A 25,357-nucleotide genomic window follows, 5' to 3' on the forward strand; every position below is an offset into this window, starting at 1 on the left:
AGGAAAATGCTTCTAAGGAGCTCCTGTGATTAAATGCAATCGAAGGAGAACTCATGGGTTAACTCATTTCTGCCGAGCGCAGTTACATAGTGCTCAGTTTGATAAAGGACCCTGCAGTAGCTTTCAAATGGAGAAATGGGAATTAGTGGCATTCCCTCTCCAATTACTAATTTTACAGAAATGCAAACAGCTCAGCAAAGGGAACACATTGTCCGTTCCAAGGCTTTCCGTGAACAAATACATTTGATATTTGAGACAGCACCCTGTATGAAATAGGCCCTGATTTTCAATATACCCTTGAATTCTTTTATCTTGTTGTCAATAGGTTTAATAATTGATTGTGGGGAAAACACAATAGGGTAAGAAAAATACCAGGGTTATCTCAAGAGTTCTGGAGGAATGATTTGTGTCAAATTAGGTGGGTAGTTTTTTATTTTTATTTTTTATTTTTCCAATTATATACAGTGCCATTCACAAGCTAAATTCTCACTGATTTAACCTCTTTCTTCTCTGTTCCATTTAGCTGGAATAAACCCCTGTGGCCAATCTTCTATGAATGAAATTGTCCATCTTTCCTAGGAATGAGTCAATCTGTGTATTTGTGAATTTCAAATATAAGTGTGACTACTATGGTAGAAGGAAATAGCTGTCAGAATAAAGAGAAAAGGAGATGGATTTTCCACCTTGTCATGATTAACACACTTTCTCAGTCGTTCTTGGCCAGCATTTGCAAATAGTGACTGTTGTGGCTAATTGGAGTATTCCTTGCAGTTTTCTCATGTCAGCTTATACGAGCCAACATAAAGAAATACCTTTGTGGACTAGATGCAGTCATCTCACGCTTTACAGTCTCCATCGTTTTGATCCCCCCAATAGCCCTGTGAAGTAGGAAAGAGGTGTGTCTTGGATTCCCACAGTGTCTTGGATAGCTTTGTTATGGTACCTACTGCATTATACCGAAATTTAGTATTTATTGTGTGCTTTCCCAACAGCACTGTGACCTTTTGCAAAGTGACCTTCCTTAGGGCTTTAAACATAGTAGGCATTCGATAAACCTTCACTAAGTAAATGTGTTGTTCTCTCTCTGAACTGTGTTTCTAGAGCAGTGGTTTTCAACAGCGGTGGTGTTGTCCTCAGGGGATATCTGGCAATGTCTGAAGACCTTTGGCTGAGGTGGGGGTGGGGTACTGGTGGCATCCAGTGGGTGGAGGCCAGGGATGTTGCTAAACATCCTACAGTACACAAGACAGTCCTTCATGCAAAGAATTATCCCACCCCAAATCCAAATGTCAATAGCGCCGAAAGAGAAAGCCTGCTTTAGAGGTATCTAATACACACCCAAAATGGGAGATGAATTTCCTGTGACACTCATAAAACATTAGGGTCTCACCCACTGGCATCAGCCCTTCTAAAGCTCTGGGAGGGGCCATATGATTTTGCCCAATTTGCAAATGTAGGTGGCTACAGGAAGCTTTTGGACATGTCTAAGGGGATGCCCTAGAATTTATTTGGTTTGTCTCATGTGGAACACACATATGGGGTTTTAGGTGACTTTGCGTACAGTAAAGTTACTGCTCACTTTACTGGTGTAGGAATGACTTCCAGAATATTCTTAATGCTCACTTTGCCATCTCTCCCAGCGGATGGTGATACAAAGGTGAAGGCCAGAGGCTCTGTAGGGCTACGTGTGTTTTCTAGGCACTTAACACTCAATGTAAGTGGGTAGTGGAGGAGACACAAAGTTAAAAATATAGGGAGCCAGGCTGGGCACAGTGGCTCACACCTGTAATCCCAGCACTTTGGGAAGACTGAGGTGGGTGGATCACCTGAGGTCAGGAGTTCGAGACCAGCCTGGCCAATATGGTGAAACCCTATCTCTACATACAAAAATTAGCTGGGCGTGGTGGTGGGCACCTGTAATCCAAGCTACTCGGGAGGCTGGTGCAGGTGAATCGCTTGAACCCAGAAGGGGGAGGTTGCAGTGAGCTGAGATCATGCCACTGCACTCCAGCCTGGGCAACAGAGGGAGACTCAGTTTCAAAATAAATAAATAAATAAATAATAAATAAACTATATGGAGCCAGAAGCTAGTTTGCGGGAAGTTTTTCCATTCACCAAATGTGTAAACTGAAGTGACGGATGGATTTCCCATTGATGCCATGGCAAAATAGAATTTCTTTCCTGTGAGAACACATGGACACATGCAAGGGAACAGCAGACACCGGGGCCTACCAGAGCGTGAAGAGTGGGAGGAGGGAGAGGATCGGGAAAAATAACTAATGGGTACGAGGCGTAATGCCTGAGTAATGAAATCATCTGTACAATAAACCCCTGTGACATGAGTTTACCTACATAACAAAGCTGCACATGTACCCCTGAACTTAAAAGTAAAAAAAAAAGATTTCTTTCCTGTCTGAAATACAGTTGATAATACAGTGTATACAATTATGAAAGCACCACATATTTTTCTGTTTTTTAAAAAATAAGCCGAAGAAAATGTGCCAGAATTCCTGAATCGTAGGGCATGAACCTGTGGCAGCAGTGGGAAGGCAAGTACATCTGTCTATGAAGTTACATGTTCTACGTATACCAATTATCAATAATATGAAACCAATTTTAATTAACCATGTTAGAGGAAGGTCTGAATTTCTTTACTATTTCTTATGAAAAATATACAAAAAGTATCATAAGAAAAGATTATCAAATTTTAGCTGACGTAAAATGTGGAAAAGAGATCTATTATGGAGTTATATCAGGCAGTTAACTAATACAAACTGTTGTGTTTTTTTTTTTGAATCTTGTGATGCTAGTGGTATTTTCAGTTTTTAGTACTTGCAATTTGTTAAGATTTTATTTTAACTCTAAATACATGTACACTTCTGTACTGAATTTTATATTCTTGTGTTATTGTGCTTAATTAGAGGTTCCAAATTGTATAAGCTCCAGGAGCTGCAGACGGGTATCCTCTGGATGACTCACACACTTTGATCACCAGAGTAGACCTTTCCTGCAAGCTCCTTTGAGTGTTAGACTCATATTAAATCACCTTGACATCAGCTCTGGGATACCTCAGAGACATCTCCAAACTCAGTATGTCCAAAGTCAGTCTTATCATAAACTCCCCCTGCCTCATCCAGGAGATAATAAAGTTTAAAAAAGGTTGTAAGTGTGGGTCTCTAATCTGATAGGGCTGGTGCCAATGTAAGAAGAGATAGAGGCCGGGCGCGGTGGCTCACGCCTGTAATCCCAGTACTTTGGGAGGCCGAGGTGGGCAGATCACGAAGTCAGGAGATCGAGACCATCCTGGCTAACACAGTGAAACCCCATCTCTACTAAAAATACAAAAAAAATTAGCCGGGTGTGGTGGCGGGCGCCTGTAGTCCCAGCTACTCGGGAGACTGAGGCAGGAGAATGGCGTGAACCCGGGAGGCGGAGCTTGCAGTGAGTCGAGATCACGCCACTGCACTCCAGCCTGGGGACAGAGATAGAGACACCAAAGATCCCTCTCTCTCTCTCTCTCTACCCTGTGAAGACAGAGCAAGAAGGTGACCATCTGGAAGGGAACCCTCACCCGAAACAGACTTCTTTTGGAGCCTTGATCTTCAGCTTTCCAGCCTTCAGAAAATACATTTCTGTTGTGTAACCTTCACAGTGATGGTTATTTTTTTTTATGGCTGCCTGAGAAGACTAAGGAGGTTGACCCAAAGATACCAGATCCTAATATATGGGACCCATAGATGTTATCTTATTTGGAAAAAGAGTCTTTGCAGATGTGATTAAGAATCATGAGATGGGGAGATAACCCTGGATTACCCAGGTGTGCCCTAAATGCCATCGCAAGTGTCTTTATGAGAGAGTGATAGAGGGAATTTCACACACACACACACACACACACACACACACACACACGAGAAGGCAATGTGAAGATGGAGGCAGAGATTTGTTATCTGGTCACAAACTCTGGAACTGCAGCAGGTAGGGAATATATGCTTACTTGAGACCTCTGGAGGGAGTGTGACCCTGCCAACACCTTCAGGTCAGCCTTTTCCTCCAGAACTATGGGAGAATAAATTTATTTCAGTTTAAGACACGAAGTGTGTGGGAAATTGTTACAGCAGCCACGGGCGACAAATACAGAAAGAATTCGTATCTTTTTCATTGCATGTATTTCTCTGTGATTCTTCTCACTCTTGCGATGGTAAGAAATTAATGGTCTAGATTAGGATTGGCTATTGAGGAAAGGGATTGAGAGAAGCTGTGGACTTATCTTCCTATGGGGTTTTGGGTCTAAACTCTTGAATAAAGAGTACATTTGCTTAGAGAATTCTGATGCTGGTAATCACTACTTGAGAACCTAATAAAATTTAGGGTAGGTGGATTCAGGGCCCTGGGTATCTTTAATGTCTCCCATATCAATAAGATCTCCTGCATATAGAGAGTCAGTTATTGAACAATTCCAAATTTTAGGATCATAGGTGACAAATCAGATAGAATGTTCAGTCTTCATTACGGTGAGTGGGGTTGGGGAAGTGATGTTTGGGTGGAGAACCAAATAAGATGAGAAAGCAAACTTAGAGGAAGTGAGTTTCAGGCAGAGGAGACTGTAGCCACAAAGGCCCTGAGTCTGGAACTATTTTGGCTTATTTAAGGAATATCAAGAAGTCCAAAATAGTTGCAGTTCAATGATGATGTTATATTATTTGGTGCAGGTAGGTTTATGATTATAGTGTCTTCTTTGGAAAATATGTCTTTTACTATTACATTATATTCCTCCTTATTCTTTTATTTAATTCTAAATTCTATCTTGTTTGATGTTAACATTGATTTCCTGTGTTGTATATCTTTGCCCATATCTTTATTTCCCAATTTTTGCAAAAAATTAGTTTGTTAAAATTGTGTTTTTTGGTAAATAACAGAATAACAAATATCTAAGGTAAATTATGTTTCATTTCTCCTATTTGAGAGGTGTAATAATGTGAATTTTATTTAGAAATATTTTCATCAAAATTTCTAATGTGGACATGCCTTGGTGCTAAGCAGACACTTCCATTATCTGAACATAACTTGCATATACAAAATAACTCATTTCCGATGAGTTTCAGTAATTGAGGTATTATTGCACATGTCATTCAACATCTTGAAATTTTAGTATCTCTACATGCATGAGCTTTTAAAAATAAAGTCATGGCTCTATTGGGCCACAAAGAATACACTTAAAATTTACAATGTCAGCAAAAATTACTAATTTATTTATTTATTTTTTTGAGATGGAGTCTCGCTCTGTTGCCCAGGCTGGAGTGCAAAAAATTACTAATTTATTTAACTAATAACAATGTTGTTTTTTATTTATGCCTATAGTCACACCATCAGTATGGCATATGTTTGAATTGTTCCAATAGTGCAGATGGAGTTACTGTGATTTAGCAAGACTTTCTCAACTGCACTTATGACCAATATGATGCTCTTGGGAGGGGCCCAGATGTGGTCTAGATGGTCTGTGTCTGTAGGAAGGAAGTATCAAGTTTCAGCCCATAAGGGAATTGAACCCCTGACCGTGGCCTTATTAGCACCATGTTCTAGCCAACTGTGCTTGCTAATTGGTCACACATGGCAAAAATTTTGGAGAGAAGGAAAAGATGTCAGAACACAGGATCCTTGGTTTTAACATGTTTGTTTCGGTCTGATAAAAAAAATCCTTAGATTTGGGGTCAGATCTAGCTTGGTTTGAGTATCAGCTCCCTCTCCTTGGTTTTCTCTTTGAACAATGAGGATAATGAGGCCAATTTTGGAAGATTTTTTTTTAAATGTCGGCGTAAGTAAAATAATTTACGTGGGAATACCTAGCATATAATGCAGCACAAAGTAGTTATTCAATACATATTCTTTTATAGTTTGGTTTAAATCATTTCGAGGTAAACTGATGATGCAGAAAATCACAACACTTCTCCCTCACTTAGATTATACCCCCTCTCTTTCCACCTTCTGTCACCTTCAGTGATACAACTAACATGCTAAGGCACCATTCAGTTGCAAAGTGGTTATATTTATGCAATAAAAATAAATGCAAGGCAGAGGAGAGCCACATTACTCAAGAGTTTTTAGTCTGTTTCGTCCTGGCTTGAGCACACTGAGATGAGGTGAATTCAGCACTCCAACCCTCCCAGGCAGGGGAAGCCTCGAGAGAAGGCAGCAGAGGATCCAAGAGAGCAAGTCTTCAAGACTGACCACTGGGTTTTAAGTCCTCACTCTGTAGCTGTGCAGCCTTGGGGCAAGCATGTAACCTCTCAAACCCTTGGTTTTCTCATCTGTAAAATGGGGATCGTTACCGTTACTACCCCAGAAGATTTTGTGAGATGAAGTGAGATAAGACCGGTGAGTAATTTAACCAGACATATGGGAAGTGTTCAAAAGTGCTCAGGGGAAGGTCATGTGTCTCATCTGCATACCATGCACTTTATGACCAGGGCTGCCTTTTTTAACTTCTCTGAGTCTCTCTCTCTCTCTCTCTCTCTCTCTCTCTCTCTCTCTCTCTCTCTCTCTGTCTGTCTCTGTCTCTGTGTGTGTGTGTGTGTGTGTGTGTGTGTGTGTGTGTGTGTGTGTGTGTTTTATAAGCCTGCCCCAACAAGCCTATTTACTCAGAATGTAAAACAAATTTACTGTAGTATATCGACTAAATACACATCGGGTATCAATTTTATTTGTTGCAGGAATGAGTATACTGTGTGAGTCTCTTAAAAGGTTGATACTCTGGTTTCAGCCTAACCTCAGCCTTGATCTGAATCCAAGGTTTCTAAGCCTCTCTTTCTTATCCCCTGGCTCTACCCTTTAATTCCGCATCAAATCGTTCTCTTCGGCAGTCTTACCCCGAATCAGCGGTGTTGACCTCACATGGAATCACAGAACCATTCCCCTCATTTCCTCTCCCTGTTTTTCGTATTCAACCTCTGTTGACCCTTCCCAGGTGTTACTCATGTGATGTATTCTGTAGGCTAAGTCATTTCCCCGCGCTGAGTTTCCCATTTATTTCTTCCACTGCCAAAATGTCTTTTTCCCTCTGTATCCTTCACAACCCCTGTGTTGCACATCTATCACCTTTATATGTGTCCTGAGCCTTGCGATTCTCCATCTGCACTCCTGATCACTTTCTCTTCCTCACTCTGAGCCCTTCATTCTCCGTGTTGAGTAAACATTCTTGGCCTCAAGGAGCTTTCATCGGCAATGCTAATATTTTAAATATTATGATTACTTTTCTCTCTGCCATAAAAATCTCCCAAAACATCCATATGATCAGTGTAGAACACTGATTCTCAGTCAGGGAGGGGTGATTTTGCCCACTAAGAGACATTTATAGTTGTCACAACTGGTGGGGGTCCTTCTGTCTTCTGGTGGGGAGAGACCAGGGATGCTGCGGAACAATACTCCAAAGCCCAGTACAGCCCCACAACAAAGGAATATTCAAATGCCAATAATGCTAAGGTTGAAAAACTCTGGTATAGATTAGAAAGTGTATTTATCTTAAAAAGCTAAAATAGAACTAAGACACAATGCAAGCATAAGGATAGTTAATAATAAAACAATAATAACTCAAATGTATTTGGCATTTGTCATGTAGCAGGCACCGTGCCAACAGTTTTCCCTTCTTTGCCTTATTTGATCCTCATGATTACCCTATAAGGTAGGAACTATTATGATCCCCCTTGCAAATGATAAAACTGTGGCCCAAATAAGTTAAATTATGTAACTAAGGTCACACAGCTGATTAAGGACTAAGCTGAGATCCAATCCCAGGCAGCCAAATGGGAAGGGCTTCTTTATTTTGAACTGCTGTGATGAGCACTGATACATCTAGAAACAGATGTGCCATATACTGCAGAGCGAGGATCCTCTAACTGAGGTCTCTTGGATAGGATTCCGGAGGTCTTTGAGCCCCCTGGAAATAAATGCAGTATTTCCATCAATGTGCATTTTTTTTTTTTTCTGGGAAGGGGGATGTGGTTCAAACAGTCAAATTATCTCAGAAAGATTTGCAACCAGAAATACACTGGGAATCCATGAACAGCTTGCTCTTGACTTTCAGGAAAGGAGAAGTTTTGTGCCCTGGATTAGGCTGCCTTTCTGCAAAGGTGGGCTCAAAAATTCTGACCAGACTATGGACCATCCTTGATTAAACTTGATAAATCATTTGGCAACCTTGAATTTCCAAGGACTGTTAAAGGGCACAAAGCAAATTTAATAAAAATCTTAAGAAATGGGGTGACCTTAGGTGATCTATTTATATAAGATTAGGAAATATAATGGCTTCAGGTACTAACGGTTTCACAGTATTGACCTATCCATGTCACAGGACTCTTTGCCTGGGTGTTGCTGATATTTTCCTCTGTGATTCTCACTGTCCCTGAATTCGTGGCTCACCTAGTCCCCTACAAATTTACGTATTTGCTTATCTGTGTTAATACCTTCAATCTGGTTACCTCCAGCTTTGATGGTTTAGGAATCACATTGATGCTTCTTTACATATCGTAATTGATTACATCTAGCATCTAGGACATTTTTTTAACACCCATCTTATGTGTATCAACTTTGGTAAACATTCCCTTTGGTTGCAGTCATTTGTTGACTCTATTTTCCTTATTGATAATCTTTTCAGCTGCAAATGATGATATATCTATTTCCTTTCAAATCCTTAGCCCTCTAATTAGCTTTTCTTTTTTTGATGTATTGGCTGGGACCTTCAGAACAGTGTTGTAAAGTAACAGTGATGTGCATGCTTGTTTTATTGTTAGCTTTGACAGCAAATCTTCTAAATTTTCACAATTGCTACAAACTGAATATTTATGTCTCTCCAAAGTTCCTATGTTGAAATCCTAACCCCCAAGGTGATGGTATTAGGAGGTGGAGACTTGGTAGGTGATTAGGTCATGAGAGCAGAGCTTTCCTGAATGAGAACAGTGCCTTTAAAAAAGAGATCCAGGCTGGGCATGGTGGCTCATGCCTGTAATCCCAGTACTTTGGGAGGCTGAGGTGGGCAGATCACTTGAGCCCAGCAGTTTGAGACCAGCCTGGCTAACAGGGTGAAGCCCCATTTCTACCAAAAAAAAAAAAAAAAATTAGCCACTTGTGGTGGTGTGTGCCTGTGGTCGCAGCTACTAGAGAGGCTGAGGTGGGAGAATTGCTTGAACCCGGGAGGTGGAGGCTGCAGTGAGCTGAAGTTGCACCACTGCACTTCAGCTTGGGGTAACAGAGGAGACTCCATCTAAAAAGAAAAAAAAAATCCAGAGCTTCCTTTCCCGTTTCACCATGTGAGGACATGTGAGAAGATGATCATCTCCAAAAGAGATGCAAGTCCTCACCAGGCACCAAATCTGTCTGAACCTTGATCTGGGACTTCCCAGCCTCCAGAACTGTGAGAAATAAACATTTGTAGTTTATCAGTCACCCAATCTATGATAGTTCGTTGTAGCAGCCTGAACACACTAAGATCACCACTTAAAATGATGTTTGTTATTGGGGCTTTTCCTACTAAAATTTCTTCTTTCCAGTGCTATGTTGCTAATTCCCCATTATTGTAAAAAATCATTTAAAATTATTAAATTTTATCCATTTTGCATCTACCAAGGACATCAGATGACTTTTAACTTTTTATTTCTAAGTTGACTTTGCATTTTTCTGCTTTTATACATGATGCTGTGGTTTCCCAGAGAACAATCATATTTAAGGGACTTTGAAGTAGGAGGCATTCACTGTCACCACCCATGGGCGTCCTACAGCTACATTCAATATGTTCTTGGAAATACATGGGCTACAATGTAATGACTACTCAAAATATTGCTAACATGACCTACTTAGACATAAGGTAGGGAAGAAAGAATATTTAGCATTTTCCATAAATATATATGTCTCCAGATGTACCTATTCACAGGGAGTCAGAACAAAACAGCATTATGAAATGTTCCATGAGGTCTCCAGGGCCATACATCAACTGAACTCAGCCAGCAGCATGTCTTCTTCAGAAGTGTATCTTTAGTCTTTGAGACTGCCCATGACCAATAAAAGAAACGAGGAAATTTTATGATGAAGTTTATTTTTCCAATATTTTTCCAATATTGAAATACCAGAGGTCCTTGCTTCCAGTAGGCACAAATTTCAGTTACTGTGTTTTAATTAAATAACTCCAGTTCCCCAACAATGTGGGTCAATTTTTAGTTACCTTGATATATTACCTGTAATTGCATGAAGCACAAATTTCCCTGCTAGCTCTTCAGTTCATAAATCACTAAGTAAATAACACATGCACATCATGATCTGTGACTGATCATGTCACTTCTTCGAAGGCAATGACTGGTCAGTACGCATCTGTACTCAGTTCATACACAGACAGCAAAGCATGAAGTTGTGTCGTCTCCTTGTCTCCCAGTGATTAAACCATGTGACATTTTATAAAAGTGAGTAATACTGGTCGGGCGCATGGCTTATGCCTGTAATCCCAGCACTTTGGGAGGCTGAGGTGGGCGGATCACAAGGTCAAGAGATTGAGACCATCCTGGCCAACATGGTGAAACCCCGTCTCTACTAAAAATACAAAAATTAGCTGGGCATGGTGGTGGCACATGCCTGTAGTCCCAGCTACTCAGGAGGCTGAGGCAGGAGAATTGCTTGAACTCGGGAGGTGGAGGTTGCAGTGAGCGGAGATTGAGCCACTGCACTCCAGCCTGGCAACAGAGTAAGACTCTGTCTCAAAAACAAAACAAAACAAAACAAAAAAACAAAAAACAAAAAAATTTAAAAAAAGTTAGTAATCCTAAGATAGGATTAGCAACAAAGATAAAAGTGCATTAAAGAAACAAAAAGTGGTAGTGCTGGAAGTGAAACTTGCATTGAACCTAAATGGAGTTATTGAAGAAATAGCTGATCGTAGGAATATTGATGCTGCTGTGGTTGGAGGCTCTACCATGCAGCTGGAGGAACTTCAAGGAAGCGAGCTTATCAAAATAAGTAAGGAAAGTGGTTGTGACGAAAAGGATGAAGATGTCCCAGAGGAAAGGATGCTGGCAAAAACTGCACATTAAAGGGATTCTCAGAGATAACTGACAACATTGAAAGATTTACACTCAAGGTTTGGAAACTGATTTAAAGTTAGAATTAAGTATAACGATTCACGAAGGTGTGGAGAAGATGCTTGCTTTGTCTCATAAGTTCTACAATGTTCGAACAACTCTTGATAAGTTTTTAATAAAGAAAAAAACTTCAATTTTCAATGTTTCTAATTTTTAAAATTGTAGTGTACTAAAGTATTAGTTTTACTATTTTTATATTTCCCTACTTATAAGTGAGAATAAGTGACTTTTTAATGTTTTGACAACCATTTTTAAAGGTCACAGAACAACTGCAATTTTTACCACTGATTATTAATAATCAGATGTTTTTGCACAGTTGTAGCCTGCACAGTCGTTTTTATGGTCCCACACTACTCTGCAAAGTGAGGACAGTGATATAATTTTCTCATTGAAGAACACTTGGAAAATAGAGCAAGAGAAAAAAATTACATATAACCCCATCCCAAAAGCACTTGTGAGTATAAAAATGTATATCTTTCCAATAGTCATTTTGATTGGTATAATTTTACATCTGTTGGTTTTACATACTTGTGATCATGCTGCTTAAAGAATTTTGTTCCCTTTTTAAAAACAGACTTTACTTTTTAGAGGAGTTTTAAGTTCACAGCAAAATTGAGTGGTAAGTACAGAGAGCTCCCATTATACCTCATATCCCCACATAAGCACAGACTCCCCTACCAGCAACATCATGCACCAGAGTGATACATTTGTTACAGTCAATGAACCTACATTGGCACATCATCACCCAAAGTCCATAGTTTACTTTAGGGTTTACTCTTAGTGACGTACATTCTATGGGCTTCTAACAAATGTATCATAACGTGTATCCACCATTATCATGTCACATAGAATCATACTGCCCTAATAATCCTCTGTGTCTTTGAATTTATTAATCTCTGTCTCACTGAGTAACCACTGGTAACCACTGATCTTTTTACTATCTTCATAGTTTTGCTATTTTCTTTTATATATTTTTTGATGTTAATATATAGGTTTTATTAATTCATCTGCGTAATAATCCATTGAGTGGATACATAATAGCTTATTTAACTTTTTAAGTGAATTAAACTGAGTTGTTACAGGTTTTCACTTGTTTACGGTTTTTCCTTTGCTATTTTGCATTCTTTTCATAGGGTCAATTTCAGAAGTACAGCCATTAGGTCCAAAGTCTCAGCCAATGTATCGAATAAATCTAGCCTGCAGACAAATTTGGCCTGGCCAGCATATTTGTTTATATATACATATATATATTAATGGAGCCCATAGTTAGCACAGTTTACATACAAATCTGAATTTCCTATTTTCCTTGAAAAAAAACCAGGAGATCTGTTGACACCAGGTGTTTCCATATGTCAGCAAGAAGCTGGACCTGTGTAGCTACCACCCCTTTAGAGAGACAGCAATCACATCCTCTGTGAGCAGTAGAGTTTGATTTTCACTAAATGTGATTAGCAAATGGTTTTTAAAGACAAAAGAACCATAGTTTATTTGCTGTGTTATATTTTGATTTATAGTCCACATTTTTTTTCAAAGGAATTTAAGATGTCTCAACAAACTGGTATATGGATGTGTGGGAAATACTTCCGTAATAATGAACTGTGCTGAGTTCGTGGAGCATTAAAAAGTGCTTCGGTTCAAGCTATTCTATTCCACCTTTTCAAAAGGTGGGTTCTTCCCTGAACCATTGCATAGTGAGAAGTTTAGTATCTACAAAAGGTGTGGTGTTTCGTGGTTTTGCATCTTGTTTGATCTTCACACTGGACAGTAGCAACTATAAATTTTAAAAAGTTTTCTTTCTAAAATTACTCTGGAAGCTTACATGCAGATGACCATTGCTCTGCTCCACCACCTTTGCTGGCCCCCTACAGCCTCTGCAATGCTCTCTCCATTCATTAGCCATTCATTAGCTCCTCCCACCCTGACTTCACCCATTTAATTGTTCCCCTCTCTAAAGGTCCATTTAAAATGTGATCTTCTCTCTCATACTGCAGAAATACTACTTTTTCCCTTATAAATGCCCATCGCCTTAATTTCTGCCTCCGGTATGGCCGTTGCTACTTTTTCATTTTATATTTTAGGTGGTTGGGTGGATGACTTACCTCTTCTACAAGACCTTTGAGGTTTTCTTTTTTTTTTTTTTTTCATGAAAGTTTATGTCTACAAGACGCTGTTGAGAGCAACTTGATTCCTCATTCATTTTTGTTTCCCACAAAGTTTATGCCTGAAATGTGTGTATAAACAACATTTGAAAGAAGAAATGGAAATCTCCCATCACTACATCTCAGTATGAAGAGATGGAGGGAAGTTAAGTCCTAAATGACCAGATTTGGATGTTACATGACAGGTGGCTTCTGCACAGTAAACTGAGGCAGAACTGTAAGTGATGAGTAGGTATTCAAGAATGAAAGAGATCATGACCAAGGACAGCCACATCCGACCATTCGTTGTGTTTTGTTGATATGCCCTGACAATAGATGACATAACCAAAGAAAGAAACTGCTGGGGGATACAGGCCTATACCTCTGGATATATTTTTCTATTGTGATTTTAGCTTCAGAGCAACTTCCCTCTGACATAACGAAGACTCTTGAGTATTGAAGATGAATATTTATTGGGGAAAAATGCAATGGGAAATAAAGAAATCAGAAGATTGGAGATGCTTGACAAACTACTGGAAATTTTATTCCCAAGTAATTTATTTCTTATTTGTATCAATTTGATAAATATTATGTAAGTTACGATTATGTTGAATTGCAAATAACAAGAGCAGGTGTTTATTTTTTTTTACATAATAACAAGTCCAGAGGTGTGTTTAGATGACTGTGCAATGGCTAGGCCACTGGTTCTGATGTTCTTGGCTTCTTCCTTATGGTCACAAGATGGCTGCTTCAGTACCAGTTCTTATATCTGCATTTAAGAGATTAAAAAAGAAAAAGAAGAAGAAAAAGAAAAAGAGGCACAGGTACTTCTGCAACTGCATCTGTCCTCTTTTATCAGGAAAGCAAATGTGTTCCTAGGAAGCCACTGGTGGACTTGGTTTGTTTCATGGCTATGTTGTCTCGCATGGCTATGTATCGCCAAAAGGGAACCTTTGAAAGGAAATATTTCATTGAATGTTTTTATACTCTGAAAATAAAGTCATGTTTATTATATATGAGATAAAAGAGAATGGTTATTAAACAGGTAATAGACAGAATTGGTCACTGCCATTTAATTCCAATGTCAGGGGTCCCTAAATTCAGCATTCTGGGATTACCTTTTCTTTTAAAGCTCAACTGTAATAGTATTCTCTGGGCCCTCATTCAATCTAAGGGTTCTTTTTCTCCCTCCATGTTGAGAATCTGAAAACTTCCTTCTTTTCCTTCCTTCCTTCCTCATCTTCCTTCCTTCCTTCCTCCCTCCCTTCCTTCCATCTTTCTTTCTTCCATCTTTCCTTCCTCTCCTTCCTTCCTTCTTCCTTCCACCCTTCCTTCCTCTCCTTCCTTCCTTCTTCCTTCCACCCTTCCTTCCTCTCTTTCCTTCCTTCCTCTCCTTCCTTCCTTGTCTTCCTTCCTTCCTTCCATCTTTCTTCCTTCCATCCTTCCTTCCTCTCCTTCCTTCTTTCCTTCCTTCCTCCCTTCCTTCCTTCCTCATCCTCCTCCATCCTTCCCTCCTTCCCTCCCTCCCTTCCTTCTTTCCTTCCTTCCATCTTCCTTCCTTCCTTGCCCTCCTTCTTTCCTTCCTTCCTCCCTTCCTTCCTTCCTTTCCCTCCTTCTTTCCTTCCTTCCTCCCTTCCTTCCTTCCTTCCTCGTCCTCCTTCTTTCCTTTCCTACCTCCCTCCTTCCTTCTTTCCTTCCTTCCTTCCTTCTTTCCTTCTTCCCTCCCTCCCTCCCTTTATTCCTCTATTTCTCTTCCCTTCTCTCTCTTTCCTTCTTTCTCTCTTCTTTTTCTTTCCCTCTTACTTTTTTCTTTGCTTCTCTTCTCTTTTCTTTCTTTTTTGAGACAGTGTCTCACTCTGTCTCCCAGGCTGCAGTGCAGTGGTGGGATCGCTGCTCATTGCAGCCTCAACCTCCCAGGCTCAAGGGCTCCACCTGACTCAGCTTCCTGGGTAGCTGGGACTACAGGTGCACAACACTACACCTGGCTAATTTTTCTTTTTTTTTTTGTAGAGGTGGGGGTCCCCCTATGTTGCCCAGGCTGCTCTTGAATTCCTGGGCTCAAGCAGCCCTCCTGTCTCAGCCTCCCAAAATGCTGAGATTACAGAAATGAGCCATGGTGCCCATCTCCTTCTTTCTTATACAGACCCATTAAACTATCTTTGCAACATCAGTCTCTGAACTCACCTTTGTCATCCAAATAAGCCATCAAGGTTTCCTAAGTAAAGAGCTATCCACATGGATATGGATTAGGCAACTACCCCTAGAATAGAAAAATGACTGCAGTCAGTTGCTTGAAATACTCTTTTTCCTTTCTCCTCCCCACAAATGAAAATAAACACTTATTATTTTCAAGTTCTGAAAAATAGTGTTTTAGGTCTGAAATGTTCAGAAATCTCAACATCAGACACTCGGAAGAAAATATGGAGTCAGTGGGACATGAGTCTGTTCTGTTTAAATCTACATTCAAGTATGTTAAGGTCAGTTTTATCATGCAACCATCATTTCTGTAGTTTTAACTTACTGTCTCTGAATATGTTGTCTTTGTGATGCATGAAACAGTGTCAAAATCAGGAACGCGACTTAATGTATTATTCTCAACACTTATGATGATAAAATATCATTGGTCTGTTGTGAGTAATGCTCATAAATGTCGTCCGCTTAACCATATTCAAACCACATGCAAACTTTCTAACCATATGCAAATTCCCATTTGTGATGGTCACCTTCACTCATAGTTTAGAAAATGTTGTGGTTGATTATCCCCCAGCTCTAGTGGTGGGCTGAGATTCGGTTAAACCAACCAGCATATGTCATTATCCATGGTAGTAAGCAGCTTTGGAAATAGCTCCCATGGGGTCCCCACCTCCTGGTATTCATGCTGTTGTGTAATCCCTGCTTTTTGAGTGTGGATGGACTTATCACTTGCTAATTGATATGGTTTTGCTGTGTCCCCACCCAATTCTCATCTTGAATTCCCACATATTGTGGGAGGGACCTGGTGGGAGGTAATTGAATCATGGGGCAAGTCTTTCCCATGTTATTCTCATGATAGTGAATAAGTCTCATGAGATCTGATGATTTTTAAAAGAGAAATTCCCCTGCCCAAGCTCTCTCTCTTTGCCTGCTGCCATCCATGGAAGACGTGGATTGCTCTTCCTTGCCTTCTGCCTTGATTTTGAGGCTTCCCCAGCCACATGGAACTGTAAGTCCAATTAAACCTCTTTCTTTTGTAAATTGCTTGGTCTCAGGTATGTCTTTATCAGCAGCATGAAAATGGAATAATACACTAATAATGACTAAAATATGGCAGAAATGATGGGATATCCCTTCCAGGATTAGGTTATTAGAGACTGTGACTTTCATCTCTCTTGTTTGCTTGCTCTCATGAAGCCAGCTGCCTTGTTGTGAACTGCCCTACAGAGAGGCCACATGGCAAAAAGCTGAGCATGGTCTCTGCCGAACAGCCATTGAGGACCTGAGGCTCTCAGTCCAACAGCCCACAGTGAATTGAATCCTGCCAGTAACCACTGAGTGGGTTTGGGAGAGGATCCTGGTGAACCTTGAAATGACTGGAGTCCTGGTTGACACCACAATTGGAGCTTACAAAAGACTCTGAGCTGGAGGACCTAGTGAAGCCATATTTGGATCTCTGGCCCATAGAAACTGTGAGGTAATAAGTGCATGTTATTTTAAGCTGCTAAGTTTGGCAGAAGAAGGAGGGGAGTGTAATTTGTTACATAGCAATAGATAACTGATACACTCCTAGTTACAAAAGTTTGTCCAGGTATGTGCATGTGAGCAATTGAGCCAATGGTAAGTAGGCTGATCCTCGACTTTTCAACTGGTAGAAGGAGAGGGGAGGGAAGGAAAAAAGAAAGCAAGAGAGGAGGTGGCGGGCGTGGAGAGAGAGAGAGAGAGAGAGACTATTTTCTGCCATCTATGAAGCAAAGAAGTTGTTCTATAGCTGTTGTCATCTTGCGACTTTGTGGAGGTAACCTGTCTTAAAAGAAAGCTAACACAAATCAGAAAGCATAGCTGAGAGAGAGGGAGATACCAGGTTCTAGGGCATCATTTAAATACCTTCATCACACTGTGTCTGAAGCCAGTGGATGTGAATCACTGGATTCCCTTTTTTTCTTAAGCCAGTTTCCATTTTTTTTTGTAACCCAGACTTTGACCTGATACAAACTGTAATTAGCTGATGATCAAAACTTCAGCTGTCCAAAGAAGGACTTGTCACCCTAAAACAGATGTTCCAAATTTTGTCTCAACTGACACAATTTGGAGCATCTGTTTACAGCTTTACAGGAAGGGGGAGAAGGTATTTTTAAGTGTGTGAGCACAAGTTAAAAAAGTAATTGGAAACTAAGTAAGTACAAAAACATCTTCAATCAAAGAAACATTTTGTAAGCTGAAATATTGTTCATTTTTATGATGGTATGTGTATATCTTCATATATAAAACTTCACTGTCATTAGAAAATGTCACACAAAATAACAAATACACCTTTTTCAATCTGGTTATAAATATGCAGAATGGAGTTTATTTACCAAAGTGTTACACATTTCCAACTGATAATATATCAATAAAAGCTCTCACTCCAAGATGTCATTAAAGCCACATTTGTTCATTTCTATTTATTATGAGAAAAAAAAAACAAAATGAAAAAAGTGGATTTGAGTCATATTTCCTGTGAGTTCATCATTTGCTGGCATATAACACTTGTGAATTTTATTCAATTCATTTAAAATGATTTCTTACATGCAGCCAGAAAGTTGAGGGTGGCAAGGAATTCAAAATGATCAGCAGGCATCCAAGATTTCTCAGGAGACAGATTTAGAATCACAACTGAGGTATGTTTTCCTTAAGGAATGTATCGTAGAAAAACTAGTTCTAATGAACCAGAATTTGTTCCTAATAAATTCGGCTCATTTGTGTTTTGAAATTAGTAGACTCAAATGACCTTCTTAAAATGAGGTTTCTTCCTTTCTTCCCTTCCCTTCCCTTCCCTTCCCTCCCCTCCCCTCCCCTCCCCTTCCCTCCCCTCCCCTTCCCTCCCCTCCCCTCCCCTCCCCTTCTCTTCCCTTTCCAATATAGACCAAGATCTATGGTACCCATTTCAAATGCCCTCAGAACTCATTCTTTTTTCGTGTTTATTTCATAAAAGTGGGCATTCTATCTATACCAACCTTTGCACCTAACATGTAACCTGTTTTGGCCAGTGGGATGTTAGCCAGCATCACACAAGGAGAGGTCCTTTTGCTCCTCTGTCTCTGTCAAAAAAACAAAACAAAACAAAACCAGGCTATCCTGATGGAGAATTACACATCTGGCTCAGGTGTAGCAGCCAACAGCCAGTGAGGCATAGAGTGAACCTAGCATCACAAGAAGAACTACCTAGCCCAGCCCAGCCCAAATCTCTGACCTGCAGATCTGTGATTTAAATACATGCTCGTTGTTTTTAGCCACTGTATGTGTGTGCGTGGTGTTCAGGCAAGTGTTTTTCAACATTATCATGGTAATAGGTAACTGGTACACACCTAACACCTGAATAACCGATTATATGGTTGAAATATCTGGAATGATTCTGATTTCCTATACTGCGTCCTGACTGATACAGAAGTTTATAGACATTTTCTCATTTAATTGTCACAACTACCTAACATGGCAGGTATTGTTGCTGTCCCATTTTACAGATCAGGATGCTAACTAAATCATTCAAGTCCATACAACTCCGAAATGGCAGAGTGGAAAGCAAACCAGGATGCTGAATTTGAAAGCCCACATTCTTAACCATCAGACCACACTGACTGACTCAGTTTTCACACTGAGAGTGAAAAATATTAGCAAGTTTCCTCTGGAAAGATCTAGAAGATAGGTTTACAAGGTCTAAATTGAATGGGAGCTATAAAGGAAGTACAGGTTTCATGCAGAGAATCTGAAGCTCTATGTCCACTTGCATATTTTAGAGCTGAATTCTTGGAGGGTTGTGCAGCCTCTTCATCTAATACAATTGGATTTGGCCCTATCTTCAGATTTAGTCATTTCTTCCATGACAGCATATTAAATGACAATCTCAAATAAAGACCACTCATCTGAACAAAGGGAACACGCCCCACTCAGGCCCTTCTTTGATTTATAACCAATTCTCTTTTAACATGTGGACCCAACAAACGAGAGATAGCTTACTAGCTCGAACAATGAACTTGTTAGTTAACAGAATTAACAGTGTGTTGTTTCATTGTGATGACAGTAATAAAACAGGAGACGTGAAGCAGATATAGTCACAACTAAATCGTAATGGATGAGATATTTACAGCAAAGCTGTTAAAACATTGAATAAAATATGGGAAGAGCAAAAGCAGATGTGTTTTTATTCTTCTGAGTTGAAGCTTGCAAGGTAAAAAGATAGTTTGAGTAATAATCGCAGGTTCTGATTCACAATGAATTAATAAATATTCATATGGTACCAGCCGCTGAAACTTTCCAGATACAGAAATAAAGTGAGAAAGCCTGTTCTTGCCTTACACTTTACTAAGTTTAGATTTCCAGACACACATGTCAATATCTCCATTAGGTTCCTGTAAAAGTTCTCTTTTATTTTCCACTGCGTTCCAAGTCTTGATGGTGAAACATTCATCTTTCCTGTTTTGTTCCAAATGTCACAGTATTTCCCCCACTCAAACCACAAGAAAGTAGAAAGAAGTGATGGTCTATTAATAAAGAAGAGACCTATAATTTAAGTAGAAGATAGAGGTGGAAGGAAATGAGCATTTCTCTTTGAATTAGGCACAGGCAAATGAGCTATATATCCCATTGGATGTCCACATCCCCAAATGAATTAGAACGGTGGGATGCCTGATTTTGCAACAGCAAGCAAAACACATTTATGCGTTTTTCTTTTGTGATTATCATTGTCTTTGTTTTAAAGGAGCCGGGAGTTTTTTGAGAGCACAAGGGAATGCTACCACATTACTCAGGGTTGAAACAACTTGGGAAGCATAATTTGGGGGGTGTGAAAGCATCAGGATGCTTGGTCCAGGTTTGTTTTCCTGCATTTCAGAAAAACAGCTGCTGGAAAAAGAAGGGAGAGGCTTGGCGCAGAACTGGTTTGGATTTTTTTGGGAGGGAGAAAGGAAGAAAGTGAGACAAGAGTGTCTTGCAGGGGCTCAGATCTCCCTGGCTGGGGGCCACAGCCCTCCCCTCTTGAGTACCTGGTTTGGGTATTGGAGGCTTCCTGATGGATGTCCATGAGCTCTGCAGTCGGTAGCACAACAGGGCTCCTTGAGGTTGCTATGACATCCTTTGTTCCCCATTTCCCTGCTTTTATTGGCATATGTACCTTGGCTTGTATGTAGAACCCGAGGGCTTTGTGTTGCATTTTCATTTTCCCCTCTGTTTTATTAATCACTGCGTCCTTTTCTCTCCCTGCACATCCCCAAGTCTTCTCCCTAGACTTGCACAGGAATCTTTCATTTGGGTTCCATTCTTTGTTTTCCCTCAGATGATCTCTGTTGGCTGTAAATGAGTTTTTGTTGTTTCTCACCCTCTCTCCCCTCCTTGGCCTTCGTATTATTTTTTCCTTTTAATTAATTCCATCCCCACAGACTTACATTTGCGTTTTTTCATTTTCCTATTCTTCTCTGTCTTCTTTGAAAATCTCAGGGTAATGTTCTGGGCACTTGTCTGTGGCTCGGAGTTCTAGGAAGGGAGAGGCCGGGGAGGGGGGCTTCCAAGCAAGTAGGGCACAAGACCAGCAGGAAGAAGCAGCCCCAAGCCAGGACTCACCAAGGAAGCCTCTTACCAAGTGCCTTCTGGTCAAAAGAAGGTTATTTCCAGGGCCAGGCGTGGGGGCTCACGCCTGTAATCCCCACACTTTGGAAGGCCGAGGCGGGTGGATCACGAGGTCAGGAGATTGAGACCATTGTGGCTAACACGGTGAAACCCCATCTCTACTAAAAATACAAAAAAATTAGCCGGGTGTGGTGGCAGGAGCCTGTAGTCCTAGCTACTTGGGAGGCTGAGGCAGGAGAATGGCGTGAACCCAGGAGGCGGAGCTTGCAGTGAGCTGAGATCACGCCACTGCACTCCAGCCTGGGCGACAGAGTGAGACTCCGTCTCAAGAAAAAAAAAAAAAAGAGGGTTATTTCCATAAGAACCTTCCTTGCACAGAAATCTGAGAGCAAGCAGGCCTCTCAAGGGTCAAGAGTCTTACCACTTCCATTTTGGGGGATTCCCGATGTGTTAGACAATGAAGACGGACTAAAAAAAAAGATTTTTAAAAATTGTGGTGTATTTAACAAATTAACACTCCTTACACAAATCTAAGGCTATTTCATTGTGGCATGTGCAAGCAAATTAGCAGATTTAGAAACAACGCTTAATCTGAATGCACTGCTGATAGTCTTGCAAACAAGTTTCACTAACAAAGTCCAACCACACCAGGTATTTTAGAAAGCATGTGATGTTCAAAAGCTAGTATTATTTGGTTTATCGGCTCAACCACGAAGGAGTTAGTTTCCTATTATGCTCTGATTCTCTTGTCGCCCTGTGCACAATTGACCAGGCATTTTTTTTCCTGAGTGGGGGGATTGGGGGCGGTCTGAGTTTTAGATGGTTCACGTTTTTTCCTAGTAACTTTAGCAGAGGAATTAATTATTACTGTGCAATCGCCTTTTTTGGAAGGATATTTGGAATGTGCTTCTTGTCTCTTTTCCCTTCAGACTTTTTTTCTTCTTCTTCTTTGAATTGGACAGCCTAAATGTTAGCTTTACTGGAGCTGAACATACTGTAACACTTAACCAAGGTGAAAAATGACTGCTTGCCAATGACTTTTACATCTATATTAAGACTATGCTGGTTATATAGCACAGTTAGATATAACATGTTCAAATACAGAGAGTGTGATAGATCCAGGCATCGATGATATGCTTTCTTTAAAAACAAAAGGATTGCAAGAAGTGAGCCAGGTATGGCTACTTAGGAATTTGTGCAAATAAGAAAAACACAGTTATTAACTTTTTTAGGCATTGGTCTGTATCTAACTTTACTCTTTTTTGGATTTATTTATTCATTGGCTAATAAAGATTTTCAGCCATAGATGGGAGTTTGTTTTTTTCCTAGGTAATTGGTAAATGAATAGAACCAGACTTTAATCAGTAAACAAGGTATCTGATAAATTGATTAAATAAATGATTCAATATTGTTGGAAGAATGAGACTACAACTATCCCAGTTTAAATCTTCAGTGCTCTTAGAACCTCATTCTTAAGATGAGGCTCTTTCTTTATGAATGGAATTGATTTACAGAAAACGAAGCATTTGGCTGAGTTTGTGACTTACTTGAGATTGCACAGCAAGTCTGAATTAAATCTGTGTAACAGGTTCTAATCCCATGGTCCAGCAATTAGACCATTCTCTCTAAGCTTCTTGGAAAATTAATTTCTCATTACAAATAAATATATTCTGCACCATGGTCTGAACATACCAATGCTAAGCACATTTTCTGACAGACATTTCAAAGATATAGATGAGCTCTTGCATCTTTTCAAAAGCAATGCAAGGGACATTCACACAGCAGGTGCTGGAAGGGTCCCTCTGGCAGACAGAGGAGATGCAGAAGTTCTGCTCAATCAGGTTTTCCTGACCAAGCCTGTCTGTGTAGCTGCGGTAAACATGCACAGGTCTAGCGTTCAAAAATGGGCCCCTGGCTCTCACAATGAACCTGACAACCTGACCAATCAAATTCAAGTCTACCACGTTGCCAGGGTAACTAATACACAGTCACAAAAACAGAACGATCACAGTGAGGGAAAAATACAAAATGCAGCATTTTCATGCTTAGAGAAAGAAAGAGAAAACACAGGCTGACCGTACATAGCAGGAACTGATACTTGCTTCTTCCTTAACTATGAGCCATTCATTTACAGCCATGTGCAAATGCCTATGTGCAGATGTATGCACCTATCCTCTTTCACAGAAAATATGTGCCTCACTTCTGGAACATTATTAGTGAATTTAGAATGGGAGAAAGATGGCAGATTATGGTTTGAGGTGGAAAGATCTGGAGGCACACACACAAAAAATGAGCATCCACCCTTCTTCCTTGAGCAACTCCCGGGTTGAAAGGTGCTTCCAGACTCAACTCAGTCAATGGTCCTTTCTTCCAGTATTTAAAGGATGCTACTGCCAGGGTAATAAAAGCCACCCCATGCCCTTAGCAATGACTATCTCCAGGCTAAACTGTCCCTCTGTTTTGCTATGTGCCCCCATAGTATAGGTGCCGAAGTGATTCTGAAAAACGTAGATCATGTCCTGCCCCCGCTGACAGCTCCTCCCCTGACTTCCCTTGCAGGCTGAGCAGCAGGTGGTGTTTACACCATGGCCCACCAGGTCCTGCTGAGTCTGCCTCTTCCTAACTCTCTGCCCTTATTTCTTGACTCTCTCCCCCACAGTCCACTGTCAACAATCTTCCTTTCTGTCCCTTGAACATGCCAAGCTTATTTCCACTTGCATTAGTTTCCTGGAGTTGCCATAACAAAGACCCACAAACCAGGTGGTGAAAAACAACAGAAATGTATTCTCTCATAGTTCTGGAGGCTTGGAGTCTGAAGTCAAGGTGTCTGCATGGCCGTATCCCCTCTGAAGGCTCTAGGGGAGTCTATTCCATTTCCTTCTCTGAGTTCCTGACGTTGGCAATTCCTGGCATTCCTTGGCTTGTGGGTGCTTTGTCCCCATCTCTGCCTCCCTGTGTGTTTCTACATCCCTTCTCCTCTTCTTATGAAGACATCAGTCACTGGATTAGGGCCCACCTAAATTGAGTAGAACTCGACTATATTTGCCAAGGCTCTATTTCCAAATAGGGCCATATTTGCAGGTACTAGCAGTTATCACTTCAACATATCTTTTCGGGGACACAATTCAATCCATAATGCCACCTCAGGACTTCCACCTTGAATTCTCTTCTACTAGCCCTTTTCATGGCTGGCTCCTTTTATCTTTTGGGAGTGAGCTCAAAAGCCATCTTGTCCGGAAGCTTCCCAGATCACACATTTTTGACTTCCCACCCCTCAACTTCTTGTCATCAATGCCCTTTGTTTCTTTCTTAGACCTTATCCCACTGGATATACAACTCCCCTCCCTCTCTCAAGGAGAATATGAACTCCCAGGAGTAACTTCTTTGCATGTCTTATTCACAGCTCCGTTCCCAGAGTGTAGATGAGTGCCTGCAACAAAATAGGTTCTTGATAACTATGCATTGAATATAAAATCTGAATCAGAAAATTTGGGAAGTAGGAGAAGTTGTAGAAGAGAAGGCTGAGTTGAGGTGGTACTGAATTTATGACAAGCATTCAGCATTTTCTGTGACAAATATCTGTTGGACATCAATTATGTGCCAGACACTGTTCTAAGTTACAGCTCAGCTAAGACAGACACAAAGCCTTGAGCTGCATCTGAGTGAGAGCCCGAGCACCTGCCATATGTTGAGTGCTTGCTATCTGCCGGCACAGTGCAGAACACCTGTGATGTTAATCCTACAGAAAATTGTAGAAGGCAGGTGCTATCATTAACTTTACTTCTTCCCAGGTGAGGAAACAATTTCAGAGCAAGTTCACCTCACTGGTAAGCAGGAGAGCAAACTCCTCCTAAACATGGGGTTCCGTTCCCCACCCTCTTAGCTGCTCCCCTATGCAACTCTTGAAGAAAACACTAATGCTGGCCAGAAGTCCATGTAGTTGGCAATCAGCTGCATTTTCCTGATGAGAAAATGAAACGCAGGAAAGTTAAATCACTTCCACACATCACAAGCTAAGGGGTGGCAGGTAGGATAGGAGGGAGACGGCCCTGGTTTGTTGTCAGAGCCCATGTTCATAAGCCCTACCTTTATGTCCTCAAGTCTATAGGTTTGTGGGCAGGTATAGCAGGGGTATCCTTTTTTTTGTTTGTTTGTTTGTTTTAACAGAGCTCAGAACCCAAGCTTCTCAAACTCTAAAGAGTGTAGGATTCATCAGGGGATTCCAAACCTAGACTTTGAATCAGCAGGCCAGCTGTTCCCATTACCCTCGTGTGACCTTCTGGGGCTCCCTGATTTCTCACTCATAGCCAT

The 25,357-nt window shown here is 40.6% G+C and overlaps 3 long non-coding RNA genes and 1 pseudogene across 7 annotated transcripts in view; 2 read left to right on the top strand and 2 right to left on the bottom strand.

Moving 5' to 3' along the window:
• LOC105372666 (uncharacterized) overlaps positions 1-25,357 on the top strand; it is a 483,513-nt gene that overhangs the window by 385,631 nt on the left and 72,525 nt on the right. The gene's annotated exons all lie outside the window — the stretch shown is intronic.
• TRI-AAT12-1 (tRNA-Ile (anticodon AAT) 12-1) lies at positions 5,526-5,603 on the bottom strand (annotated as a pseudogene).
• LOC105372665 (uncharacterized) lies at positions 13,793-22,895 on the bottom strand. Of its 3 annotated transcripts, XR_936854.3 has the most exons (4): positions 20,467-20,610; positions 18,442-18,525; positions 15,437-15,512; positions 13,793-14,203 (listed from the first exon to the last, which is right to left on the bottom strand). It is a non-coding gene; the product is annotated as an uncharacterized LOC105372665 (long non-coding RNA). The 3 variants fall into 3 exon arrangements; XR_936857.3 differs by lacking the exons at positions 18,442-18,525; positions 20,467-20,610 and adding an exon at positions 22,739-22,895; XR_936856.3 differs by lacking the exon at positions 18,442-18,525.
• The window catches only part of LINC01524 (long intergenic non-protein coding RNA 1524), a 29,589-nt gene continuing 28,796 nt past the window's right edge, over positions 24,565-25,357 (top strand). The window contains exon 1 of the long non-coding RNA NR_110038.1: positions 24,565-24,873. This is a non-coding gene — a long non-coding RNA (long intergenic non-protein coding RNA 1524). The remainder of the gene's footprint in view (positions 24,874-25,357) is intronic.

Source organism: Homo sapiens, chromosome 20 (genome assembly GCF_000001405.40).
Source record: "Homo sapiens chromosome 20, GRCh38.p14 Primary Assembly".
Lineage (NCBI taxonomy): Eukaryota > Metazoa > Chordata > Mammalia > Primates > Hominidae > Homo > Homo sapiens.